General features: G+C 51.1%; 1 protein-coding gene and 1 long non-coding RNA gene across 4 annotated transcripts in view, besides 6 other annotated features; one reads left to right on the forward strand and one right to left on the reverse strand.

Moving 5' to 3' along the window:
- Positions 1-6,615, reverse strand: part of LRRC75A (leucine rich repeat containing 75A) — a 50,617-nt gene extending 44,002 nt beyond the window's left edge. For all 3 annotated transcript variants that reach the window (NM_207387.4, NM_001113567.3, XM_047435962.1), the window contains exon 1: positions 6,167-6,615. In NM_207387.4, coding sequence (NP_997270.2) covers positions 6,167-6,412 — 246 coding nt within the window. In that variant the 5' untranslated portion in view covers positions 6,413-6,615. The remainder of the gene's footprint in view (positions 1-6,166) is intronic.
- Positions 76-18,131, forward strand: LOC124903936 (uncharacterized). Its single transcript, XR_007065641.1, has 3 exons — positions 76-1,603; positions 1,792-1,868; positions 18,009-18,131. It is a non-coding gene; the product is annotated as an uncharacterized LOC124903936 (long non-coding RNA).
- Positions 402-1,327: an enhancer, noted in NCBI's record as "H3K27ac-H3K4me1 hESC enhancer chr17:16389294-16390219 (GRCh37/hg19 assembly coordinates)". NCBI's record gives its function as "activates a minimal SCP1, AML or CMV promoter by ChIP-STARR-seq in primed H9 embryonic stem cells {active_cell/tissue: H9 hESC(primed)}" and the evidence as "EXISTENCE:reporter gene assay evidence [ECO:0000049][PMID:30033119]".
- Positions 1,328-2,252: an enhancer, noted in NCBI's record as "H3K27ac-H3K4me1 hESC enhancer chr17:16390220-16391144 (GRCh37/hg19 assembly coordinates)". NCBI's record gives its function as "activates a minimal SCP1, AML or CMV promoter by ChIP-STARR-seq in primed H9 embryonic stem cells {active_cell/tissue: H9 hESC(primed)}" and the evidence as "EXISTENCE:reporter gene assay evidence [ECO:0000049][PMID:30033119]".
- Positions 6,218-6,277: a silencer, noted in NCBI's record as "silent region_8225". NCBI's record gives its function as "represses an Ori minimal core promoter by ATAC-STARR-seq in GM12878 lymphoblastoid cells {active_cell/tissue: GM12878}" and the evidence as "EXISTENCE:reporter gene assay evidence [ECO:0000049][PMID:35858748]".
- Positions 6,388-6,437: a silencer, noted in NCBI's record as "silent region_8226". NCBI's record gives its function as "represses an Ori minimal core promoter by ATAC-STARR-seq in GM12878 lymphoblastoid cells {active_cell/tissue: GM12878}" and the evidence as "EXISTENCE:reporter gene assay evidence [ECO:0000049][PMID:35858748]".
- Positions 6,528-6,867: a silencer, noted in NCBI's record as "silent region_8227". NCBI's record gives its function as "represses an Ori minimal core promoter by ATAC-STARR-seq in GM12878 lymphoblastoid cells {active_cell/tissue: GM12878}" and the evidence as "EXISTENCE:reporter gene assay evidence [ECO:0000049][PMID:35858748]".
- Positions 12,053-12,553: an enhancer, noted in NCBI's record as "H3K27ac hESC enhancer chr17:16400945-16401445 (GRCh37/hg19 assembly coordinates)". NCBI's record gives its function as "activates a minimal SCP1, AML or CMV promoter by ChIP-STARR-seq in naive H9 embryonic stem cells {active_cell/tissue: H9 hESC(naive)}" and the evidence as "EXISTENCE:reporter gene assay evidence [ECO:0000049][PMID:30033119]".
- Positions 18,132-20,441: the final 2,310 nt, after the last annotated feature.

Genomic DNA, 20,441 nt, shown 5'->3' on the forward strand with positions numbered 1-20,441 from the left:
CGGAAAGGACTAAGACAGTCGGCAAGAACAGCCAGGAGGAGCCAGGACAAGCAGTGTGTGTGTGTGTGTGTGTGTGTGTGTGTGTGTGTGTTCGTGTGTGTGTGTGTGTGTGTGTATGCGTGGGCGCGCATGCGTGGTTTTCTTGCAGGGCACCGGCAGCACTGCTCTTGGTGGGGAAGGGGAGACAGATGGCTGGCTGAGGATCCCCACACTGCGGGGAGAATCTCCAATGCTGACCCCACCCCCTCTGCATCCTGATGGAGGAGTTGGAGAAGACCCTGGTCACTGGATAACCCTTCTTCAAGGAGTCTCTCCCCTGCAGACAGGGAGTGGGGATGCAGGGAGGAATCATGGCTTCCACCCCACAGGTTACAGCGGGGTGGGGGAATACCCAGGCCCACGGTCACAGTAGAAACACTTCAGAAGTCTGAGCCAAACCCCGCTGTCTCCTGAGAGAGAACGCCAGGGACAGAGGCTGGAGGAAGTGTGTGCCTGATGGGAAGTTTCAATCCATTCTGTAAGAATTTCCTGAAAACAGACTGTGTGCCAGTTTTTATGGCCTCTGCCCCAGAAAAGCACGCATGGCAATGAAATGACACTGGGGGGAGGGGAGGGTGCACCCACCCTGACGGTCCATGGATGGAGGCCAGGGTACTTTAGGACCTCTGAAGACAGCAAAGCAGTTTCTGGTAATCTCTGAGGAGGTGGCATTTGTTCCAGAAAAAAGGACCCCCCAACCCCATCCCACAGCCTCACCAGACCCTAAAGTCAGAATAACCGGCCCAGCTACAGCCCCTGCGGTCGTGCTTAGCCACTACAGAGGCTGCTATTTCCCCAGCCAGTGTCCCTGGCAGCCTTGGAAACCAATGAAGCAGGCTCTGACACAGGAATCCCTCTGCATCTTTATCACTGGAAAAGCCTCGATCCAGCCCAGGCAGAGAGCGGCGGATTTTAAAAAGGAAGGTTTCTCTTTGTGAAGGAAATGAACATGATTCAGCACAAGAGCCGATCAGGAATGTGGAGGCCAGACTCTCCCATCAGGCTCCGCTCCCCTCCCGCCACCTCGGCAGAGGCCCCAGACTGCACCTGCCGGATGGGATCCCGTAGTGCCACAGAGCCTGGGCACCATGCCACTCCTCTCTCCAAGAACACCACCGCCTGGCAGGCTGCCAGGAACAGCCAAGCCCTGTGGACATCACTCCCAGAAATCCAACCACACGGAAAGCAAACGTGCTGTGTCTCATGACAGTACTAACAAGCCTGGTAAATCAGCCCACAGTTGCACAGCCGTAGCTGGGGAATCCAAGTGCTTTCTGAGGACACACTGACGACAGCAGCAGACACACACGCGTACGCACATCTTCACGGCACACAGACTCACTAAGGTATGCCACGAGCCTACAGGTTTTCAATACCATACAGTGGATAACAGTGGTGGTGGTGGGTCTCCGCCCTCAGGAAGCACTTGACCTTATCTGACAAACAAAAGGAACATCAGGGAAAAACTCTGCATGGATTGAATGCCTCCCAGTGTGGCAGGAACTAAGAGCCACATGGATCTCTGAGCTTCGGCTGACATGCCCAGGAAGGTGGCCCTGGAAAGGTAAGGTGCATTCAGTGGAAACATGAAAAGCATTCCAGGTGGAGGAAGAAGAGCAGGCCCAGCGTAGGGCCCCCCTGCTCGGTGTCTGGTAGCCTTCCAACCTGCTTGCCTAAAGAAGTGTTCTTAGGTGGAGGTGGAAGGAAAAAGGTGACCTTCTGAGGTCATTATGCTCATCTTTCTGCTTCTAGGTAGTAACGACCTGTCCAGTCTCCACATCTCCAGGGAGTCTCCAGGTGTCTGTCCATTGCTCAGCTCCACTTGAGGGGTGAGTTAAACTCTTAGGTCCTGGCTCTGTGGCCCAGGCTGGAGTGCAGAGGCTTGATCTCGGCTCACTGCAACCTCTGCTTCCCAAGCTCAAGCCATCCTCCTACCTCAGTCTCCCAAGTAGCTGGGACTACAGGTGCACACTACCACACTTGGCTAGTTTTTGTATTTGCATTTGTAGAGACAGCCATGTTGCTCAGGCTGGTCTTGAACTGGTGAGCTCAAGTCATCTGCCTGCCTCAGCCTCCTAAAGTACTGGGATTACAGGTGTGAGCATTTCGCCTGGCCTCAGTGGTTCTTGTTGGCATTAGCTGATGTGGTTCCTGTTCCCAGGTGCAGAGTGAAGCCAGCCTCACCACCCCAGACAGCAGCAGGAACCAGGATTCCAGGCCCTAGCCATACCACTGGGAGGCCCAAACAAGTTAACATAGGAACAGCCCTGCTTAAGAGGTGTGCGCCACACTTCGAGTAAACCAACCCCATCAGCCTCTTCTCATGGGAAAGCTGGGGTGCTGGTGAACACGAAGACAGGGGCTACCTCAGCTGGGTGTATCCCAGGGAAACAGACGCCTTTTTCTGCTGCTCCATGACGCAGGCCGACAGCTCAGTCTAAAATTTTGAGGACTCAGGGAAACTGCTGGGGTGAAGAGATGACAGCTCACCCTCAAGGTGGCCTGGCACTTGCCCTCTCTCAATGGCGGAAGGTTATTTCTTCTCCAGGGCTCCTTAAAGACAGCAGGCCTGAGCCCAAGGGGAAGGACATCTGGGGAAGGGGAAAGCCTGGAAGGATGGCGGCCAGGAAAGGGCAGAGGAATGGCCTCTCCCATCCAAAGCTGGCTTGTTTTATCTCCACGAGCATTCGCTCCAGATGCTTCTAAATGTGCAGTGAGTTTTTGATCCAGACTGAACCCTGGCCAGGTAGATGGAATCCAAAAAATTCTTGGGCCATGCCTGAGAAAGGATGCCACAACCCTGCCCCTACTGGGGCCAGACCCAAAGTGAGTAAGGCAGATTCTCCTGTTTCACAGTCACCAAGAGAATGTGTCTTGAATGGCAGCACCAACACCATTTCATTCACTTTGTAGCATTTGCTGTGCTCAGTACCCCAGATCCCTCTTTGGGAAACAAAGAAACACAACTCAGAGAGGTTATCTGCTGGGCCCAAGGTCACAGCTGACTGAGGACCGGAAGGCGAGCTGCCTACTTGATCCTTGGCCCTGGACTCTTCTCAGATTACACTTATCTTAAAGGGAAGGGGATTACTTTCTGTTCCTTCAAGGCAGCTGCCTGGCATCCTGCCTGCACCCCTGGCCACAGCTCAGGGTCATTTGTGCTGAATGAGGCCTCCTGATACCTCTCCAGCAAGTGACAAGCTGGAGAGACGCCCTCCAAATCTTAGATGCTGAAGAGGGGCATTCAGAAGAAGTGGCACCAGCAGCCACAATCCTTCAGCCCACCGTGAACTGCCACACATGCACCCGGGTCAGGTCCCTGTTTCCAGATCCCCAGCCTGGAGCAAGTCACAGCAGGGAGAAGGGTGGTATTGGACTGGAGCAGAGATTCTGAGCTTGGAGTCTGTAGCTGGGTTTCAGGGGCTTTGTGAACCCTCCGAAATTGCCTGTGAGATTGCGTGAGTCAGTGCATTTGCCTGGGAAGATTGTGTGTAGCTTTTTCAGAGCCTCAAAAAGATCAAGGACTCAAAGAGGCTAAGAAGCACAGGAACAAAGGCTCCCGAGTCCCCACCAGCCATATGGCTCTGGGCATACACAAATCCAGCAGCCAAACCCAAGTTATCAAATGCAGGAGAACATGCTGTGTGAATGGAGGTGAGGGCTACTGTCCTCGCTGCTGCCCCTCCCTGGTTCTGTGCCTGCTCATTGACTCCCACCCCAGAGGCCTGCATGACATTCCTGCAGAACAGGGTGCCCCACGCTTTGCAGACCCCTGTCTTTACTGGCTGTCTTGCTGAGGAAGAGGTTCTTGCTGGTCTGACCCCTGTGAGGCTTGTGTGTTCTCAAGGCTCTCACTAGCTGCTCATTCCCTTTCTGAACATCACCACCACCAGACTAGAGAAGGAAACTGGAATGGAAAGGAAAATGCAATTTTGGAGAAAGAGCCACTTCAGTGCACAGCACAAATCCAGCTGGACATTCCTCCAAATGGCCTCAGGGTCCTAGAAAGCCACCTCTCTGTCATAGGCAAGTGAACACTCCTGTGCTCCACTCCCACACTGCTCAAGGCCCATGACCACTTTCGGGAGGGGTCCTGCTCCATCCGTTCCAGGCCACACAGGGCAGCTCCAGGCCCACGGCCCTTGCATCCCCAGCCAGGGGTTAAGGGAGCCCAACAGGAGCCCAGAAGCCCAGAGCCTGAGGACCTGCTGCTTTCACAGAAAAGGGGGAAGTCTGATAAGCCCCCTCCCACCCCCCCATCAGCCCTCCCAGTCCTGCAGCTGAGGCGGGTACCAGGACACCAATAAGACCCATGTGCAGATGTCTGAGGAAATGCTTCTTGTTTCAAGGATCCCACAGTGGGGCTGCAGGGGCTTATCTACTCTCCCTCAAGGCAGGGAGAAGCTCAGTGTCCCCAGGATGTGGAATCACACTCAGCCCTACAGGGACTGGGGAGCCCAAAGTATCTGCCCACTTTGGGTCCAGTCTCCTCCCGTGGGCCTCCAAGCGGCCCTCCATCATGCAAGCTTCGCTCTGGTCTTGCACCCTCCAAGAAGTGCTTGCCAGCTCCCTCTGTTCTTCTGTATCCCCCAAAGCACCCATTGCAGGGTGGGGGAAACAGCATGTGATCAGGAAAACCTTACTGTATGGTGTGTAAATAGGATACCATGGTCTGGAAAACCCAATATTCTGTTTAAAAGTGAAAGAGTTACTATAAAGGCCATATGTCAGCTTCCAATTTTCAAAAGACAAAGAAATACACACTGCTAAAGTTCAGTGGTGCATAATGTCATCTTTCTTTGATGACTGAACTCAGAGAAGGCACATGGGGATCCAGCAGCGTCTCGGGCATCATTCTGGAAGTTGTTGGGGAAAACAGAGGCAGAAGCAGAAGTCCCACATCTTCCCAAGTCCCCTCGTCTCTGCTTGCCTCTCCCTGTGCAGTGCACAGCTTGGGGACACATACTTTAGGGTAAGAGCGCACCAGATACAAAGGTGGGGAAGAGTGCTGCAGAACCCAAGAGGGATGTGGGTCTGATTAGATTTTGGAAGCTCCTCCCAAGAAGGTGCTCCTACAGCCTCTTTCAGCAGCGACTGGAAAACCCCAGAAAGGTCACCTGAGATTTTCCCTCTGCCATCCACGGTAGACTCCACCTCTAATGGGGTCAGTCTAGCAAGAATATGGGGCCTGGATTGTCTACCCACCAAAGCCAGGCCAAGACAACCTGCTTGGTGATGCAGGAGAGCAGCTTTGCACTCCCCTGCCTGTCTTATACTCAACAAAATCCATGGCATGGGCCATGCTCCTCTCCCCACCAAAGAAACTGACAAAGGAAAACAAGCCACAGAGAGGTGAGTGATAGCATTAGCCTCAGGGCAGCCCCAAAGCAGAGGGAACTGGCCAATTCCGCAACATCTGTCCCTAGCCAGTGGGACAGGCACAGGCTAAGGACAGAGTCCTGGCAGTCTCCTGAAGTTGCTGCTGGCCAGGTGGTCACACAGGGCACCAAATCCAGCTCCCCTGTCTCTACCGCTTTCCGCAGGGGCTCATGGTTGAGGATCTGCTGAAGTTAGTCAGGGGAGAGGAAACAGTCTCCTCCTTGAACTACAATCCAGGATGCCTCCCAGGCGAGTGAAGGACCTAGGGACTGGAATCTCATTGGCCCCAGGGCTGTGCCCCTGGACTCGCTCTCGGGAAGCCAAGCCAGGTCCAACTGATAACCGCATTCCTTGAGGACCCTCGGCCGGGAGTGACTGCCAGTGGGCAGACAGGAAGAAAAGAGCCCTGGCCCAGATCAGGCAGGCATCCCTGCTTCCCCGCCCACCGACTGTCCCCGGAGACCAGCCTCCTTCTCTGCCTGCGGAGGAGAGCAGTGGGGACATTATGCCAACAGGTCCCCTTCGGCGGGCCTCACCCGGCCAGCCTTCCTCCGCCCTGCCCTGAGGCCCCACATTCAGCGGAAGCGCCGAGGCACCTGCTGCCAGACAGGGCTCCATCCCCGCGGAAGGGGCCCCTGGGCGGTGCCCCTCGGTGCCCCCGGCTTCCTCGGTTAGGGATGGGGCGCCCCCCCCGGCCCAGCACGCCCCCTGGCCCGGCGCGCCCCCCGCGCCCCCTCCCCGCGCTCACCTGGCGCAGGTGCTGCAGCAGCGTCCCCGCCTCCTCCCGCCGGCCCTGGCGCACCATCCGCAGCAGCTCCTGGACCATGCCGACTCGCCGGTGGTAGGGGGGCATCCCCGCGCCCGCGCGCCCCGCCTTGTCCCCGGCGCGCAGCAGCAGCGACGCCCAGAAGTCCGGCCGTTCGCGTCGGGGGCCCGGCGCGGCGCCGGGGCTGGCTCTCTCCGCCAGGCTGCCCTTGGTCTGCCGGGTGCCCATGCCGCCGCCGCCCGCCGGGACTCTCCGCTCTGGGCCGCGAGGCCGCGTCCCCGCCAACCGCCCGCCCCTCGGCCGCCCGTGCGCGCTCGCCTCCCGGGCTGCAACTTTGGGGGAACTGTTGCGCGCGGGCGTCGCGGGGGCGGGCGGGCGGGCGGCTGTCGGCGCTCCCCGCGCTCCTCCCTCTTGGCTACCCGGGCGCGCTCCCCGGGCGCTCGCCGCCGGCCCGCCCGCCGGCCCCGCCCCGGCCCGGCTCGGCCCGCCCCGCCCCCCGCCTCCGCGCCGGAGCTCCGCGGCGTCGCGCGCCTCCCTCTTCTCGGGCTCCCGCTCCTTCCCGCCCCGCGGCTCCGGGCTGGGGACCACCACCAGGCGCCCCCTGCCTGCGTCCTCTCGGCAGTCGCGCCTCCTGCGGGCGGCAGTGCTGCGCTTCCCGGGGCCGTGGCGCGGGGGCGAGGGGAACAGGCAGGCCCCATGGGCCGTCGCTCTCGGTCCCCACCGGGCTCCCCGACGCTTCCACCACCGCGCGCCCGGTGCGTCGGGCGAGATGGGGAAAGTTTGGAGCATGGGGGTGTGTGTGTTGGGGGGCTCTCTTAGGCCCAGAGTCGGGTTTCTCAAGGTGGGTTCCGCTGAGCCTCAGCGCCCAAATCGTCGGAGGCGCTGGTTAAAAACGCAGGCTCTAAGGCCTCCACCGAGACCTACTGAATGATAATCTCCTCGGTGGGGCCTGGGATCCGCCTTTTTAGCCAGCATGTTGGGTGATTCCCATGCACGCTCCTTTGAGACCTGGCCTGCTTGCAGGGCGCTGTAGTGGTGTGGTTGGTGCGTAAACCTGGAAACTGTGCGAGCTTATGGGTTGTGTGCGTGCCCTTCTATGGAGAGGGCCTGTTGCTTCCATCATGCTCTCAAAGCATCTGGACCGGAGAGGTGTGAACTCCTGTGTTCTCTTGTTCTCACTCTCACAGCCCTGGAGAAGGGTCCCTGGGGTAGTCCTGGTACAACAAAGCAAACGCACGTCTGCGAGTAGGCCCAGCGGTACACCCTGCTGGCCCACCTTCCTCCCCGTGCCTCTGCCAGGCCCAGTCTGTAAGGGACCAGAGCCCTGGGATCTCATGGTGTTGCCAGGGCTTGCCAGAGTGAAGGCGAAGGCAGGTGGGGGAGCTTCTCTGTTGCAGACCACAGGCCGCCCTGGTCCCAGCGCAGGGCAGAAGCAATTGTGCAAGCTCGCCTCTGACCCCAGCTCTGGGTGTTGCTTGAGGGTGTAAGGGCACGTGGGCTGTAGGGGCAGGAGGCTGGATCCCAAATCACAGGGAGCTGAGCCCCACTACTTAGTGAGCACTGAGTATCAGGCGAGTCTTCAGCTTCTTGAGTCCTGATTCTTCCTGTCAGGCTAGGATAATAACACTGCCAAGAATTGGGAGAGTAAACTCGGTGGACACTGCTAAAGGAAAAAATTATTTAATGACATGAGTTAAAGCATCGTAAGGAAGACTTTATTCAGGACCATTACCATAGGTGTAGGGACCTCTGCTATGAGATTTTGCAGTTGCAGGGAGAGAGAGATTGAGCTCAACTCCAATTACAGCATGGGCAAGTGGGAATTCGTTGCTAAGGAGCAGGGTGGGGGTCAGCGGATAGAAACTTAATAAGGGAAACATCAGGGCTGAGGGGGATTCTGGCTAAACAGGTTGTATGGAGCACCCTTGACATAAGTAACTCCATCTTAGAAAAAGGGTCCATTTTACATTTGAAAAAGCCTCATGCCAACAGGAACCAGATGTTCGCCTAATCAATAAAGACTACACCCCACCAGATAAAGACATAAACAGGCACACTCTTTGCTATCAGTCCTCACCAGAGGATTCTGTAGCCATAAAAAGAGCAGGACTTCAGCAACTGGAGATGACCGTCTGGATAGACCCCATCTTGCCCACACTCTGCCCACATCAAAGACTCTTCCTTGCAAGACACTGAGGACTGTTTGGATCAGGCCAGGAGACTCCCCTTGTCCAAGTCACTCTCCTTGGACTATATTGTTAACCGCTCCTTCCCTATCCCCTTTTCTCTTGATGTTAAATGTACTTTGATGTGGAATGTGTAATCTATAACATTTATATATTGATTAAGTATACTACCATGTATGGTTGGCAGTATTGACTGACTTGTGGAGTGACTTGAGCCTGTATGCCCACAGCTCTTATTACCAAGTGAATGGGGAAAACTAAGGAGAATTTGCCTCCTTGAGAACCCCATGTGGCTTGTGGCTTTTATGACTGAAATAGCATCAATAAAAGCCTGACGTTGTAGAAAGACACACATGTGCATGAACCTGATTATTTCTGACTTTGTGGCACTCACAACACCAACCTAACAGAATTCTTGCTTTAGACAGGCCAGGTGACCAGAGATCACCTGGGGGAGGGTGGGGGATGATAAACCTAATCAGATATTGAAGATGATCAGATATACAAGATGGAGGGTTCTTGCTAAACTGTCTTAACAGGGTCTTTGCTAAAACTGGATTTTACATGGAAGTGCAAAGAGGGTCTAGGAGAAGGTTTGGGAGCCTGACTAAAGTTTGGCCAAGCAAAGAATCTTTGTCAATATATAAACTTCAAGCAGAGTAGAGATGTTCTGCAAATGAGTTCCTCTTCCTGCTCTGTGATCACAGGGTTTTCCATAGGTGTCTTCTCCGTTATCCCTGAGTACCTTGAGTATGAGTCCTGGCATCTCTCCTGCAGGCATTCTCTTCCCTTTGGCCACCCCACTCCCAAATGTCCATCTCTGCCAGCAGAGAACACTCAGTCTTCCTACAAGCTGGCTTTGCAGGGCTTGGACAGCACTTTCCAAACTTACCTGAACCCTTTGCATAGGAGCACACACCTGCTGGCATCTCCAGAGAACCCAGCTTGAAAAATACTTATGTGTCTCTCATCTCTGGTCTGCAGGACCACCAGACAAAGTGGCCACCAAGGACACCTATTGACCAGGCCCCTCCCTACAGACAGTGAGCTCTACCCACCTGGAGACAGACCACACAACCTAGATAGCCTGTTGGCCTGCTTGAGGGTGTGTGGTTGGGGCAAATGCCATTTCAATGGGAGAGGGGCCAGACCAGCCCCTCACTTGGGATCTGAATGTTAGCCCTCTCCTCTTTTTCAGAGACCTGATTCTATCCTCCTCCCCTTGCTCTTGATTTTTTTACCCTGACTTTTCCTGTTTTCTGGCTTGTTCTCCTCAAGATATGCTCTACTCACCTCTCTTCCATCTATTGAAAAATTTCATTTGCATCTGCCTGCTTCAGTCACCAGTGCCCCAACTTTATCCTTTCTTTTCAGCTAAGATTTTTAGTTTCCCTCCCTCCCTCCCTCCCTTCCCTCCCTCCTTCCTTCCTTCCTCCCTTCTTTCCTTTTCTCTCTCTGTCTTCCTCCCTCCCTTCTTTTTTTTTGAGACAGGGTCTCACCCTGTAGCCCAGGCTGAAGTGCAGTGGCACCATCACGGTTCACTGCAAACTTGATCTCCTGGGCTCAAGCTAGCTTCCCACTTCAGCCTCCCAAGTAGCCAGGATCACAGGTGCACGCCACCATGCCTAGCTAATTTTTGTAATTTTTTTTTGTAGAGACGGTTTTACCATGTTGCCCAGGCTGGTCTTGAACTCCTGGCCTCAAGCAATCCTCAGGCCTTGGCCCCCCAAAGTGCTGGAATTACAGGTATCAGTCACCACGCCCAGCCTATTGTCATTCTTTCTTTACCTCCATTCGTTCCTCACCCACTTCAGCTTGGCTTCTGGCCACACCATGTCACTAAAATGCCTCTTGCCTTTAGCCTTTAGCAACAGCTAAAGAAGTGACCTAGTTGCTACACTCAGTGGCCACATTCAGTCTTCATCTTACTTGACTTTTAAGCAGCATCTGATCCTGTTGCCTACTCTTTTGATTGAAACTCTACTCCCTTGGCTTGCAAGGAACTACTCTCCTCTAGGTTTCTTTCTTGAGTTCTCCTGGGAGCTCCTTTTCTTACCCTCATTCTTTACTTGTTGCCTTTATGCAGGGTACTACCCCGTATCTCTTCCTAGGCAATGCTATTTATTTATTCATTTATTTGAGACAGAGTCTCAAATAAACTTATTTGAGACAGGGTCACCCAGGCTGGAGTGCAGTGGTGCAATCATAGCTCACTGCAGCCTTGAACTCCTGGGCTCAAGGACACTCCTGTTTCAGCCACCCGCGTTTCTGGCACTACAGGCACATTACCAACATGCTCTGCTGGGCAATATTATTTGTAATCATGGCTTTACTTGCCATGTACACGCTGATGACTCTTTCCAACTTATAAGCTAATAAATTAACCTGTCATTGATTCATGGATGCTAAAAGAAGACATGACACTCTGTGGTCAGAAACATAGGACTTTGTTACTCAGAGCACAGCAAGAAGCATGTGCATCAGCATATTTGCCTCCAAGTCTCACAGGGGCAATATGGGGGGCCCAGATGGATGTTCCACAGGCAGCTGGTTAGCGTCATAGCTGAGGAACACCGAGCCTGGAGCTGCTTATGCAGGGAGGAGTAAGCAAGCCTGCTCTTCCTCCTCCAGGGAGATGGTACCTCATCCCTCAAGGCGGCTCGCTGTAAACACAGCACTGAGAAGTGGCCCAGGTTAAAAATGGTCAGGGTCTTGCAATCTTGGCATACACAGCAAGATGTGTGAGAGTGCAAGGGACCCACGGAGGATCATCTCTTCCAATAGTGAGCACTTCATGCTCGACAAATGAGCGCATCCTCTTCCAGGCCTCCCTCCCAATCTACCCACTCCTGTCTCCGCTTTTAGTAACAGCAGGCCAGAAACCCGGGAGTCATTGTGCACTCTTTGTTTAACCTGCATCTTGTTAACCAAGGATAGTTAATGATGCCAAGGATGGGAGCTCTCATTTGCTGCGCATTTCCTGTGTGCTCGGTCTTGGGGTGTGTTCTTTGCATATATTAGGCAATTCATCCTTTCCACAGCTGCGAGGTAGGCTTTGTTATTGTCCTGATTTCCCAGGTGAGGAAATGGAAGCTTAGAGAGGTTAAATGACTTGGCCAAGGTCACACAGGTAGTAAAGGGCAGTGTTGAGATTCACGCTTAGGTCTGCTAGCATTGTTAAGGTCCTACATTTTTTTTTTAGACAAGGTCTCACTCCCGTCACTGAGGCTGGAATGCAGTGACGTGATCATGGCTCACTGCAGCCTTGACCTCCCAGGCTCAGGTGATCTTCCGACCTCAGCCTCCGTAACTGCTGGGACTATAGGCATGCATCACCATGACTGGCTAATTTTTGTATTTTTTGTATAGACGGGGTTCCACTATGTTGCCCAGGCTGGTCTCGAGCTCCTAAGCTCACGAGGTTCACCAGCCTCAGCCTCCCAAAGTGTTGGAATTGTAGGCATAAGCCACTGTCCCTGGCCTTGATCCTCCTTTTTTTTTTTTTGAGATGGAATCTTGCTCTGTCACCCAGGCTGGAGTGCAGTGGTGCCATTTCGGCTCACTGCAACCTCCATCTCCCGAGATCAAGCGATTCTCCTGCCTCAGCCTCCCTAGTAGCTGGGACTACAGGCACATGCTACCACGCCCAGCTAATTTTTGTATTTTTAAGTAAAGACAGGGTTTCACCATGTTGGCCAGGACAGTCTCGATCTCTTGACCTCGTAATCCGCCCACCTCGGCTGCCCAAAGTGCTGGGCTTACAGGCGTGAGCCACCATGCCCTGCCGGTCCTACGTTTAAAATACTTTCCCTTCCTACAGCCACTGCCTTGGTTGAGGATCTGTCATTTTCACCCTAACTTTCTTTCTAACTTGTCTCCCCACCTCCAGCCTTGCCTCCTCTGATGCATCTTCCACAAAACAGTTGGAGTGATCATTGTAGAAGAGAATCTCTGTCTCCCTCTCCCCTTCAGTGATTTCTGTCACTTTCAGTCTAAACTGCATACGATGGCATTGATATCCCGAGGTGCTACCATGTCCTCATGTCCTTGACATCAGTCATCATTCCACATTCCCTACCACTCTCCCAAGACACCACATTTTGTGCCTTTGTACATGTGGCATTATCTTCCTAGGGTGTCCTTCACCTCCTTAATAGATACCTGGCCATCCCTTAAGGCTCGTTGTAGATATCACCTCCCTCAGGAAGCCTCCCCCAGTGCCCCCACGTCCCCTTATGTGACTATAAGGCTCTGTGAATAGGAAAGCACATCCTGTACTGTGCTTCTCCTGTTTGTTTGCTGCGCTTCTGCTCGGGGCATCCTTCTTCATCCCCTCATTGGTTAATCCCTCCTTGACCTTTAGACTAAACTCGTGTTTCCTCCTCAGGGATGGCTTCTAGGATTCCCTTGGCTCTCACCAGCTAAAGTCAGGAGTCCCTCTCATGTGTTCTTTGAGTCTCATTGTGTGCACCAGACTCTACAGTAATGGCTATAAGTCTCTCAAGGCCAGATTGTTATTAGTGGGAGCCGTTGTCCATCAGTGCCGACACAGCACAGCACCAGGCGCACTGGAAGAGCCCCATAAATACTTGCTGAATGAAGCAACTCCATGGCCACCTCCAATGGCTTAGCTTCATGCCAGGAACTCAGTATAGGGCAGGTGCTCAATGAAAGGGATGGAATGAAACAGAGAGCTAAAATGCCCATTGGATTTGTTGACATGGAAGCTACTGATTGATGATCTTCAGGAAATCAGTTTCCAGGGAATGAGAGAGCAACCAGAAGGCAGGTAAAGAAGTTGAGAGCGTGATTGTAGCTTGTTCTGTCAAGAAACTCAATTGGGAATAGGACAATAACCAGAGGGGTACAGGGCAGAGAAGGCTGTTGATGTTGCTGTTGTTTTTAGGTTTTTAACAAGGGAGATCACCTTATTCAAGAGATAATCATGGAATTTATCCTCTCAAGAATAATTCTCTTATAAGCAAGTAATTTCTGTAATATAGAAACATTGGACTTTTCTCACCATCAAATCTGGAATTAAAAAATTCTCATCGTGACTTTACTTGGAACATCCACTTCAGTTTCTGATCATGTTGTAAGGATTTGAACCATAAGATGCCTAATGAAATTTAAAGATCATTCATATTATATAAATGTTTAAATAAAAAAATCTAACATATGGATCAAGCTGTAAATATTTTTATTCGACATGTCAAGCTCTTATCACTTTGATTAAAAATTTTGTATTTGGGCCGGGCGCGGTGGCTCACACCTGTAATCCCAGCACTTTGGGAGGCCCAGGCAGGCTGATCACGAGGTCAAGAGATCGAGACCTGCATGGCCAACATGGTGAAACCCCATGTCTTCTAAAATTACAAAAATTAGTCGGGCGTGGTAGCGCGCGCCTATAATCCCAGCTACTCAGGAGGCTGAGGCAGGAGAATTGCTTGAAACCGGAAGGTGGAGACTGCAGTGAGCGAGATTGCCCCACTGCATTCTAGCCTGGGCAACAAGAGCGAAATTCTGTCCCCTGCCCCCTCAAAAAATTTGTATTTGGGCCAGGCGTGGTGGCTCAGGTCTGTAATCCCAGCACTTTGGGAGGCCAAGGTGGGTTGATCACGAGGTCAGGAGATCAAGACCATCCTGTCTAACACGGTGAAACCCCATCTCTACTAAAAATACAAAAATTAGCTGGTCATGGTAGCGCGTGCCTGTAGTCCCGGCTACTCAGGAGGCTGAGGCAGGAGAATCACTTGATCCCGGGAGGTGGAGGTTGCAGTGAGCCAAAATGGCGCCACTACACTCCAGCCTGGGTGACAGAGTGAGAGTCTGTCTCAAAAACAAACAAACAAAAAGCACACACAAAAAAACTTACACTTGTAATATTTAACCCTTTTCTTAATAATCATACAAAAGTTGTTATGATACCTCTTTTTACAGCAGAAGAAGCTGGAATATAGAAAAAGTAAATAATTTGACCAATGCCTCCTTGATAGTCATTGGAGAGCTGGAATTCAAAACTATGTCTGCACTATGTTAGAGAATATAGATTCTCAGTTTATATTTTTTGAAAATTTGGACCAGGCATAGTGGCTCACACCTGTAATCCCAGCACTTTGGGAGGCCAAGGCAGGAGGATCACTTGAGCCCAGGAGTTCAAGACCAGCCTGGGCAACATAGCAAGATCCTGTCTCTACAAAAAATAAAAAGACAAATTTCCTGGGTGTGGTGGCACGCACTTGTAGTCTCACCTACTTGGGAGGCTAAAGCTGGAGGATTTCATGAGCCTGGGAATTCAAGGTTGCAGTGAACTATGATCCCACCATTGCACTCCAGCCTGGGTGACAGAGTGAGACCCTGTCTCTAAAAATAATGTGTTTGAAAACGTTGTCACATAGTTGCTGTTTGTTTTTAAACATAAGAAGAGAACCTGGGAAGGGAGGAAGCACAGGTGAGGCCTGAGTCCCCTGGGCCCATGTGGGGAGATGACCTGGTACAGCTGGAGGGATGAGCCACTGATGTGCGCCAGGTAGACTCGCACTGATTCAGAAAAGGAGGAGGAGGCCGGGCGTGGTGGTTCATGCCTTTAATCACAGCACTTTGGGAGGCAGAGGCAGGCAGATCACGAGGTCAGGAGATCGAGACCATCCTGGCTAAGACGGTAAAATCCCGTCTCTACTTAAAAAAAAAAAAAAAAAAAAAACCACAAAAGAAATTAGCCGGGCATGGTGGCGGGCGCCTTTTGTCCCAGCTACTCGGGATGCTGAGGCAGGAGAATGGAGTGAACCCGGGAGGCGGAGCTTGCAGTGAGCCAAGATCGCGCCACTGCACTCCAGCCTGGGCGACAGAGTGAGACTCCGTCTCAAAAAAAAAAAAAGAAAGAAAGAAAAAAAAGAAAAGGAGGAGGAGAGATGCAAACAAGTTTGCAGATGGAAGAGAAATTGGAGGAGTTTTGGCCTTACAGTCTTACTTTCTTTTTTTCAATGCCATCAAAACTACCTGCTAAAATGCAGGGGAGAAAAGCAGGGCATGGGCGTGTGGAGAGAGCTGGTCAAGGGACCACAGCTGGGAAGCTTCTGCAGAGGCAGGAGACAGGAGCTCAGAGTGGCATCCTGCGGCTATGAGGTTTGCTCTGACTGCTCCTGACATCTCAAGAAATAGGGGATGAGGTTGATTCCCTGCTGAGGTTTCCTAGGGCATTCATTTGTGATGGAGGGATGGGGAAAGATGGGTGATAGCAGGTCCTGGACACCATGACCTGTGAAATATTGTCTGGAAAGGTGATGAAGCAAGAAGGAATCCAGGGACGGGTACAATGCACCACTGGTTTAGGTGGTGCTCAAACTTGAGCATGCATCGGAATCCCCTGGAGGGCTTGTAAAGGCGCAGACTGCTGAGCACCAGAGTGTCTGATTCAGCAGGGCAGGGCATGTGCATTTCCCAGGAGTTTCCAGGGATGCAGATGCTGCTGGTCAGGTTGAGGACCACGCTTTGAGGAGAGCCAGAAGAGCTGGGATGTGGGGAGGAGGTAAATGAGAGTTTTTCTCTCCTGAGGTCTCATTAAGATTTCCAAGAGGACAGAACCATTTTTAGACTCAGAGGAATTTAGGGTGTCATTGAAAGTACTGACTGTGAGGGGACACCAAATACATACACACACACTCACACACACACAGTCACTCTCTCTCACACACTCACACGCACACACACACACACTCACACAACAAAGAGATCCCTGTCCATTAGTTGACAAAGGTTCTCTGCTTGACCAAACTTTAGTCAGGCTCCTGAGCCTTTTCCTAGGCCCATCTGTGCACTTCCATGTAAAATCCAGTTTAGCTAAGAACCGTGCTAAGTCAGTTTAGCAAGAATCCCCTCACCCTTAATATCGGATCAGGTTCCTCAGCCTCCACCATCCCGCAGGTGACACCTGGTTTACCCTGGCCTGTCTTCAGCAAGAATCCTGTTAGGTGCGTTTAGCCAGAATCCCCCTTACCTCTGATGTTTCCTCTTAGTAATTTCCCGTCCACTGACCCCCACCCTGCTCCTTGGCTATAAACTCCCACTTGCACCAGCTGTATTCAGAGTTGAGCCCAATCTCTCACCCTACTGCAAGACCCTGTTGCAGTGGTCCCTACGCCTATTGCAATGGTCCCTACGCCTATTGCAATGGTCCTGAATAAAGTATTCCTTACCATGATTTACCAAGTGTCTTAGTCTGTTTTGTGTTGGTTTAAGGAACAGCTGAGACTGGGTAACTTATAAAGAAAAAAGGTTTATTTGGCTCATGATTCTGATGTCTGGAAAAGTTCAAGACTAGGCATCTGGTGAGGGCCTCAGGGTGCTTCCACTCATGGCAGATGGTGAGAGGGACCTGGTGTATGCAGATCACATGGCAAGAGAGGAGGTGAGAGAGACAGAGGAGCTCTTTTCAACAACCAGTTCTGGCAGCGACTAATGGAGCGAGAACTCATTCACCCCCAACCACCCCAGGGAATTGTTCTATTCATGAGGCATCTGTCCCCATGACCCAAACACCTCCCCTTAGGCCCCACCCCCCAAACTGGGGATACATTTTGGCATGAGGTTTTTGGGAACAAACATCTAAACTATAGCACTATGTATAATTGGATAACTTTTTTTTTTTTTTTTTGAGACAGAGTCTCACTGTCGCCCAGGCTGGAGTGCAGTGGCGCAATCTCGGCTCACTGCAAGCTCTGCCTCCTGGGTTCACGCCATTCTCCGGCCTCAGCCTCCCGAGTAGTTGGGACTACAGGCGCCCGCCACCACACCTGGCTAATTTTTTGTATTTTTTTTTAGTAGAGACAGGGTTTCACCGTGTTAGCCAGGATGGTCTCGATCTCCTGACCTTGTGATCCGCCTGCCTCGGCCTCCCAAAGTGCTGGGATTACAGGCTTGAGCCGCCGCGCCCGGCCATAACTTTTTTTTTAATAAGTTTATTTTCTTCTCAAAGAAGACACACCCCACCCCTTTTCTAGGGTGCCCAGGTTAGCCCACTTCTCTTTTGGCAGCTCTTCCAAACCTGGTGACTTCTTTTATTTCTTTTTCTTTCTTTCTTTCTTTTTTTTTTTTTGAGACAGAGTATCCCTCTGTCACCCAGGCTGGAGTACAGTGGCACGATCTCAGCTCCCTGCAACCTCCATTTCCCAGGTTCAACCGATTCTCATGCCTTAGCGTCCTGATTAGCTGGGATTACAGGCGTTTGCCACCACACCTGGCTAATTTTTGTATTTTTAGTAGAGATGGGGTTTCGCCATGCTGGCCATGGCTGGTCTCGAACTCATGACCTTAGATGATCCACCTGCCTCGGCCTCTCCAAGTGCTGGGATTACAGGTGTGAGCCACTGCGCTTGGCCCCAACCCTGGTGACTTCTTTTGGTGACCAGGTAAAATGTTTCAGAGTTCCTAAATAATGACGTATGCCAGGGATGAATGCAAACCCCTACATTTTCATCCAAAAACTAGACAGTACAAGAAAACGCCTGTGTGACATCCCAAACATCCAGCCCGGCTTTTAATCAGGAACCTAGAAGCCATAGGATACCTCGCCCAGGCCTTTGGCAGACAGCATACTGTCAGATGTTCAGAAACACTGACGAGAGAAATGTCCTTTGCAGGAGAGAGAGCCAGTGGAGGGCAGGAGAACTGGCATCCAGGTCTCCATGAGGTATAAGCTCTCTTCTTGCAAACAGAACACCAGAAGGACGCATCTTGGGACCCATCCACTGAGTGCCACTGAGAACTGTGGGTGAGCTGCCTTCGTGCTTTTCCCCTCTATTCTCTAATTATTTCTTCATTGCTCCATGCATGGCTTACTTTAATTTGGTTATTTAATCTGTTACATAAGAGGTGTCCATGAACTCACCATGCAAAACAAAACAGAACCAAGCCAGGTCCTTGACAAGAAGTGACTGACTCATAGGGTTCTCTGCCATCCCATTGCTCTGCCTCCCCCCATGTCAATATCTGCATCCTGAATCTGATGTTCATCATTCCTTCCTTTTCTCTTCATATTATTTTAAACTTTCTTTTTTATAATGGAAAATTTCAAAAATACACAAAACTAGAGACTAGTCTATTGAAACTACATGTACCTGTGTCCACATTTTAACTTCAAATCATACCCTGCCTTGCTTTATCCTACCCCCACCCCACATTTCCTCTGTTTCCACATTTTTAAGCCATTGTATTTTACTTATATTTGTCCCTAAAGGGTGTCTATTTCTATTTTGGTTGTCTCTAACTTGATAAAAATACATCCTGCAGTATTTTTTTTTTTTTGAAGAGACTTTTTTTCCCCATGTACTATTGTATTGGTAAGAATCATCCTCATTGCTGCCTGTCACTGGAGTTCATTCATTCTGTGTCCTTTGTATCTTGATTTATTTCTCCACTCGCCTCTAGATGGCCATTCAAGTTGAAGGTTTTTGCTATTGTGAAGGGCGCTGCTGTAAATATTCTTTTTTTTTGAGACGGAGTCTCGCTCTGTCACCCAGGCTGGAGTGCAGTGGTGCAATCTTGGCTAACTGCAACCTTCACCTCCTGGGTTCAAGCCATTCTCCTGCCTCGGCCTCTGGAGTAGCCGGGACTACAGGCACGCGCCACCACACCTGGCTAATTTTTGTATTTTTAGTAGAGACAGGGTTTCACCATGTTGGCCAGGATGGTCTCGATCTCTTGACCTCGTGCTCCGCTTGCCTTGGCCTCCCAAAGTGCTAGGATTACAGGCATAAGCCACCACGCCTGGCCTACAAATATTCTTACACATTCTCCTCCTACACCTGGTATAGTCCTAGGAGTGGAATTATTTAACTTTAAGATTAATGCTGGATTATTTTCCAAAGTGGCTACAGCAAATTACTTCCCCTCCCCTGTAGCACTGGATTCCCCTCATCCATATCCTCTGCTCCCCTCCAATGCTTTTATTGATAAGCTTATTAATTTTTTCTGATTACCTGGCCAACTAAAATGGAATCCAATTTGGGCCTTCATTTACATAAATACCATAGGCTGGGTTTTTGCTTACTTGGAACTTGTCACTCCTTCCTTCTTTTTTATTTCTCCTTTTTGAAATGGGAGTGTTTATCCTATGCCTGTCCCACCAATGTATTTTGTAAGCACATAATACAGTGCTTACTTGTCTGGCTTCACAGGTTCATAGCTGGAGAGGAATGTTTTCTTGGGATAAATCATACCTTGAGTCTCACCCGTATCTGATTTAGATAACATTCAGATCAGACTTTGGACTTTAGACTTTAGGGTTGTTGCTGGAATGAGTTAAGACTTTTGGTTATGTTGGGATGGAATAAATGTATTTTGTATGCTTTAAGGTCACGAATTTTGGGGGAGTCACTGGGGTGAAATGCTACGGACTGAATTATGTCCCCCAAAATTTGTATATTAAAGTCTTAATCCCCAGGGTGAAGATATTTGGAGATGGGAACTTTGGGAGGTAATTAGATTTAGTTGAAGTCCTGAGTGTGGGATTAGTGCCCTTGTAAGAAGACCATGGAGAGTTTGTGCCACCCAATCCACCAAAAGGGCCATGTGAGAACACAGCATGAAGACGGCTGTGTACAAGCCAAGAACGCAGGTCCCTTGCAGGAACCCGAATTGTTTCCCTGCAACTTCCAGCCTCCAGGACTGTGAGAAAATAAATGACTGCAGTATAAGCCCCACAGCCTATGGTATTTTGTTAGGGCAGCCAGAGCTGACTAAGACAGCTGGTGCTGTTGACCATCTCTTCATCTGTTTACCGGCCCATCTCTTTCCTTTTCAGTTAAATGCCTGATCACATATTTTGTCTGTTTTTCGATTAGGTGGTTCTATTAGGTACCAAGAGCTGCTGTAAGCAATTACCACAAACTTGGCAGCTTAAAACAACACAGTTCTATTACCTCACAGTTCTGGAGGTCAGAAAGCTGAAGTGGGTCTCGCAAGGCTAAAGTCAAGGTGTGCAGACTGCCCGCCTTATAGAGGCTCTCAGGAGAATTCGTTTCCTCACCTGTCCCAGCTTCTAGGAGTTGCCCGAATTCCATGGCTCATGGCCC

Source organism: Homo sapiens, chromosome 17 (assembly GCF_000001405.40).
Source record: "Homo sapiens chromosome 17, GRCh38.p14 Primary Assembly".
NCBI lineage: Eukaryota > Metazoa > Chordata > Mammalia > Primates > Hominidae > Homo > Homo sapiens.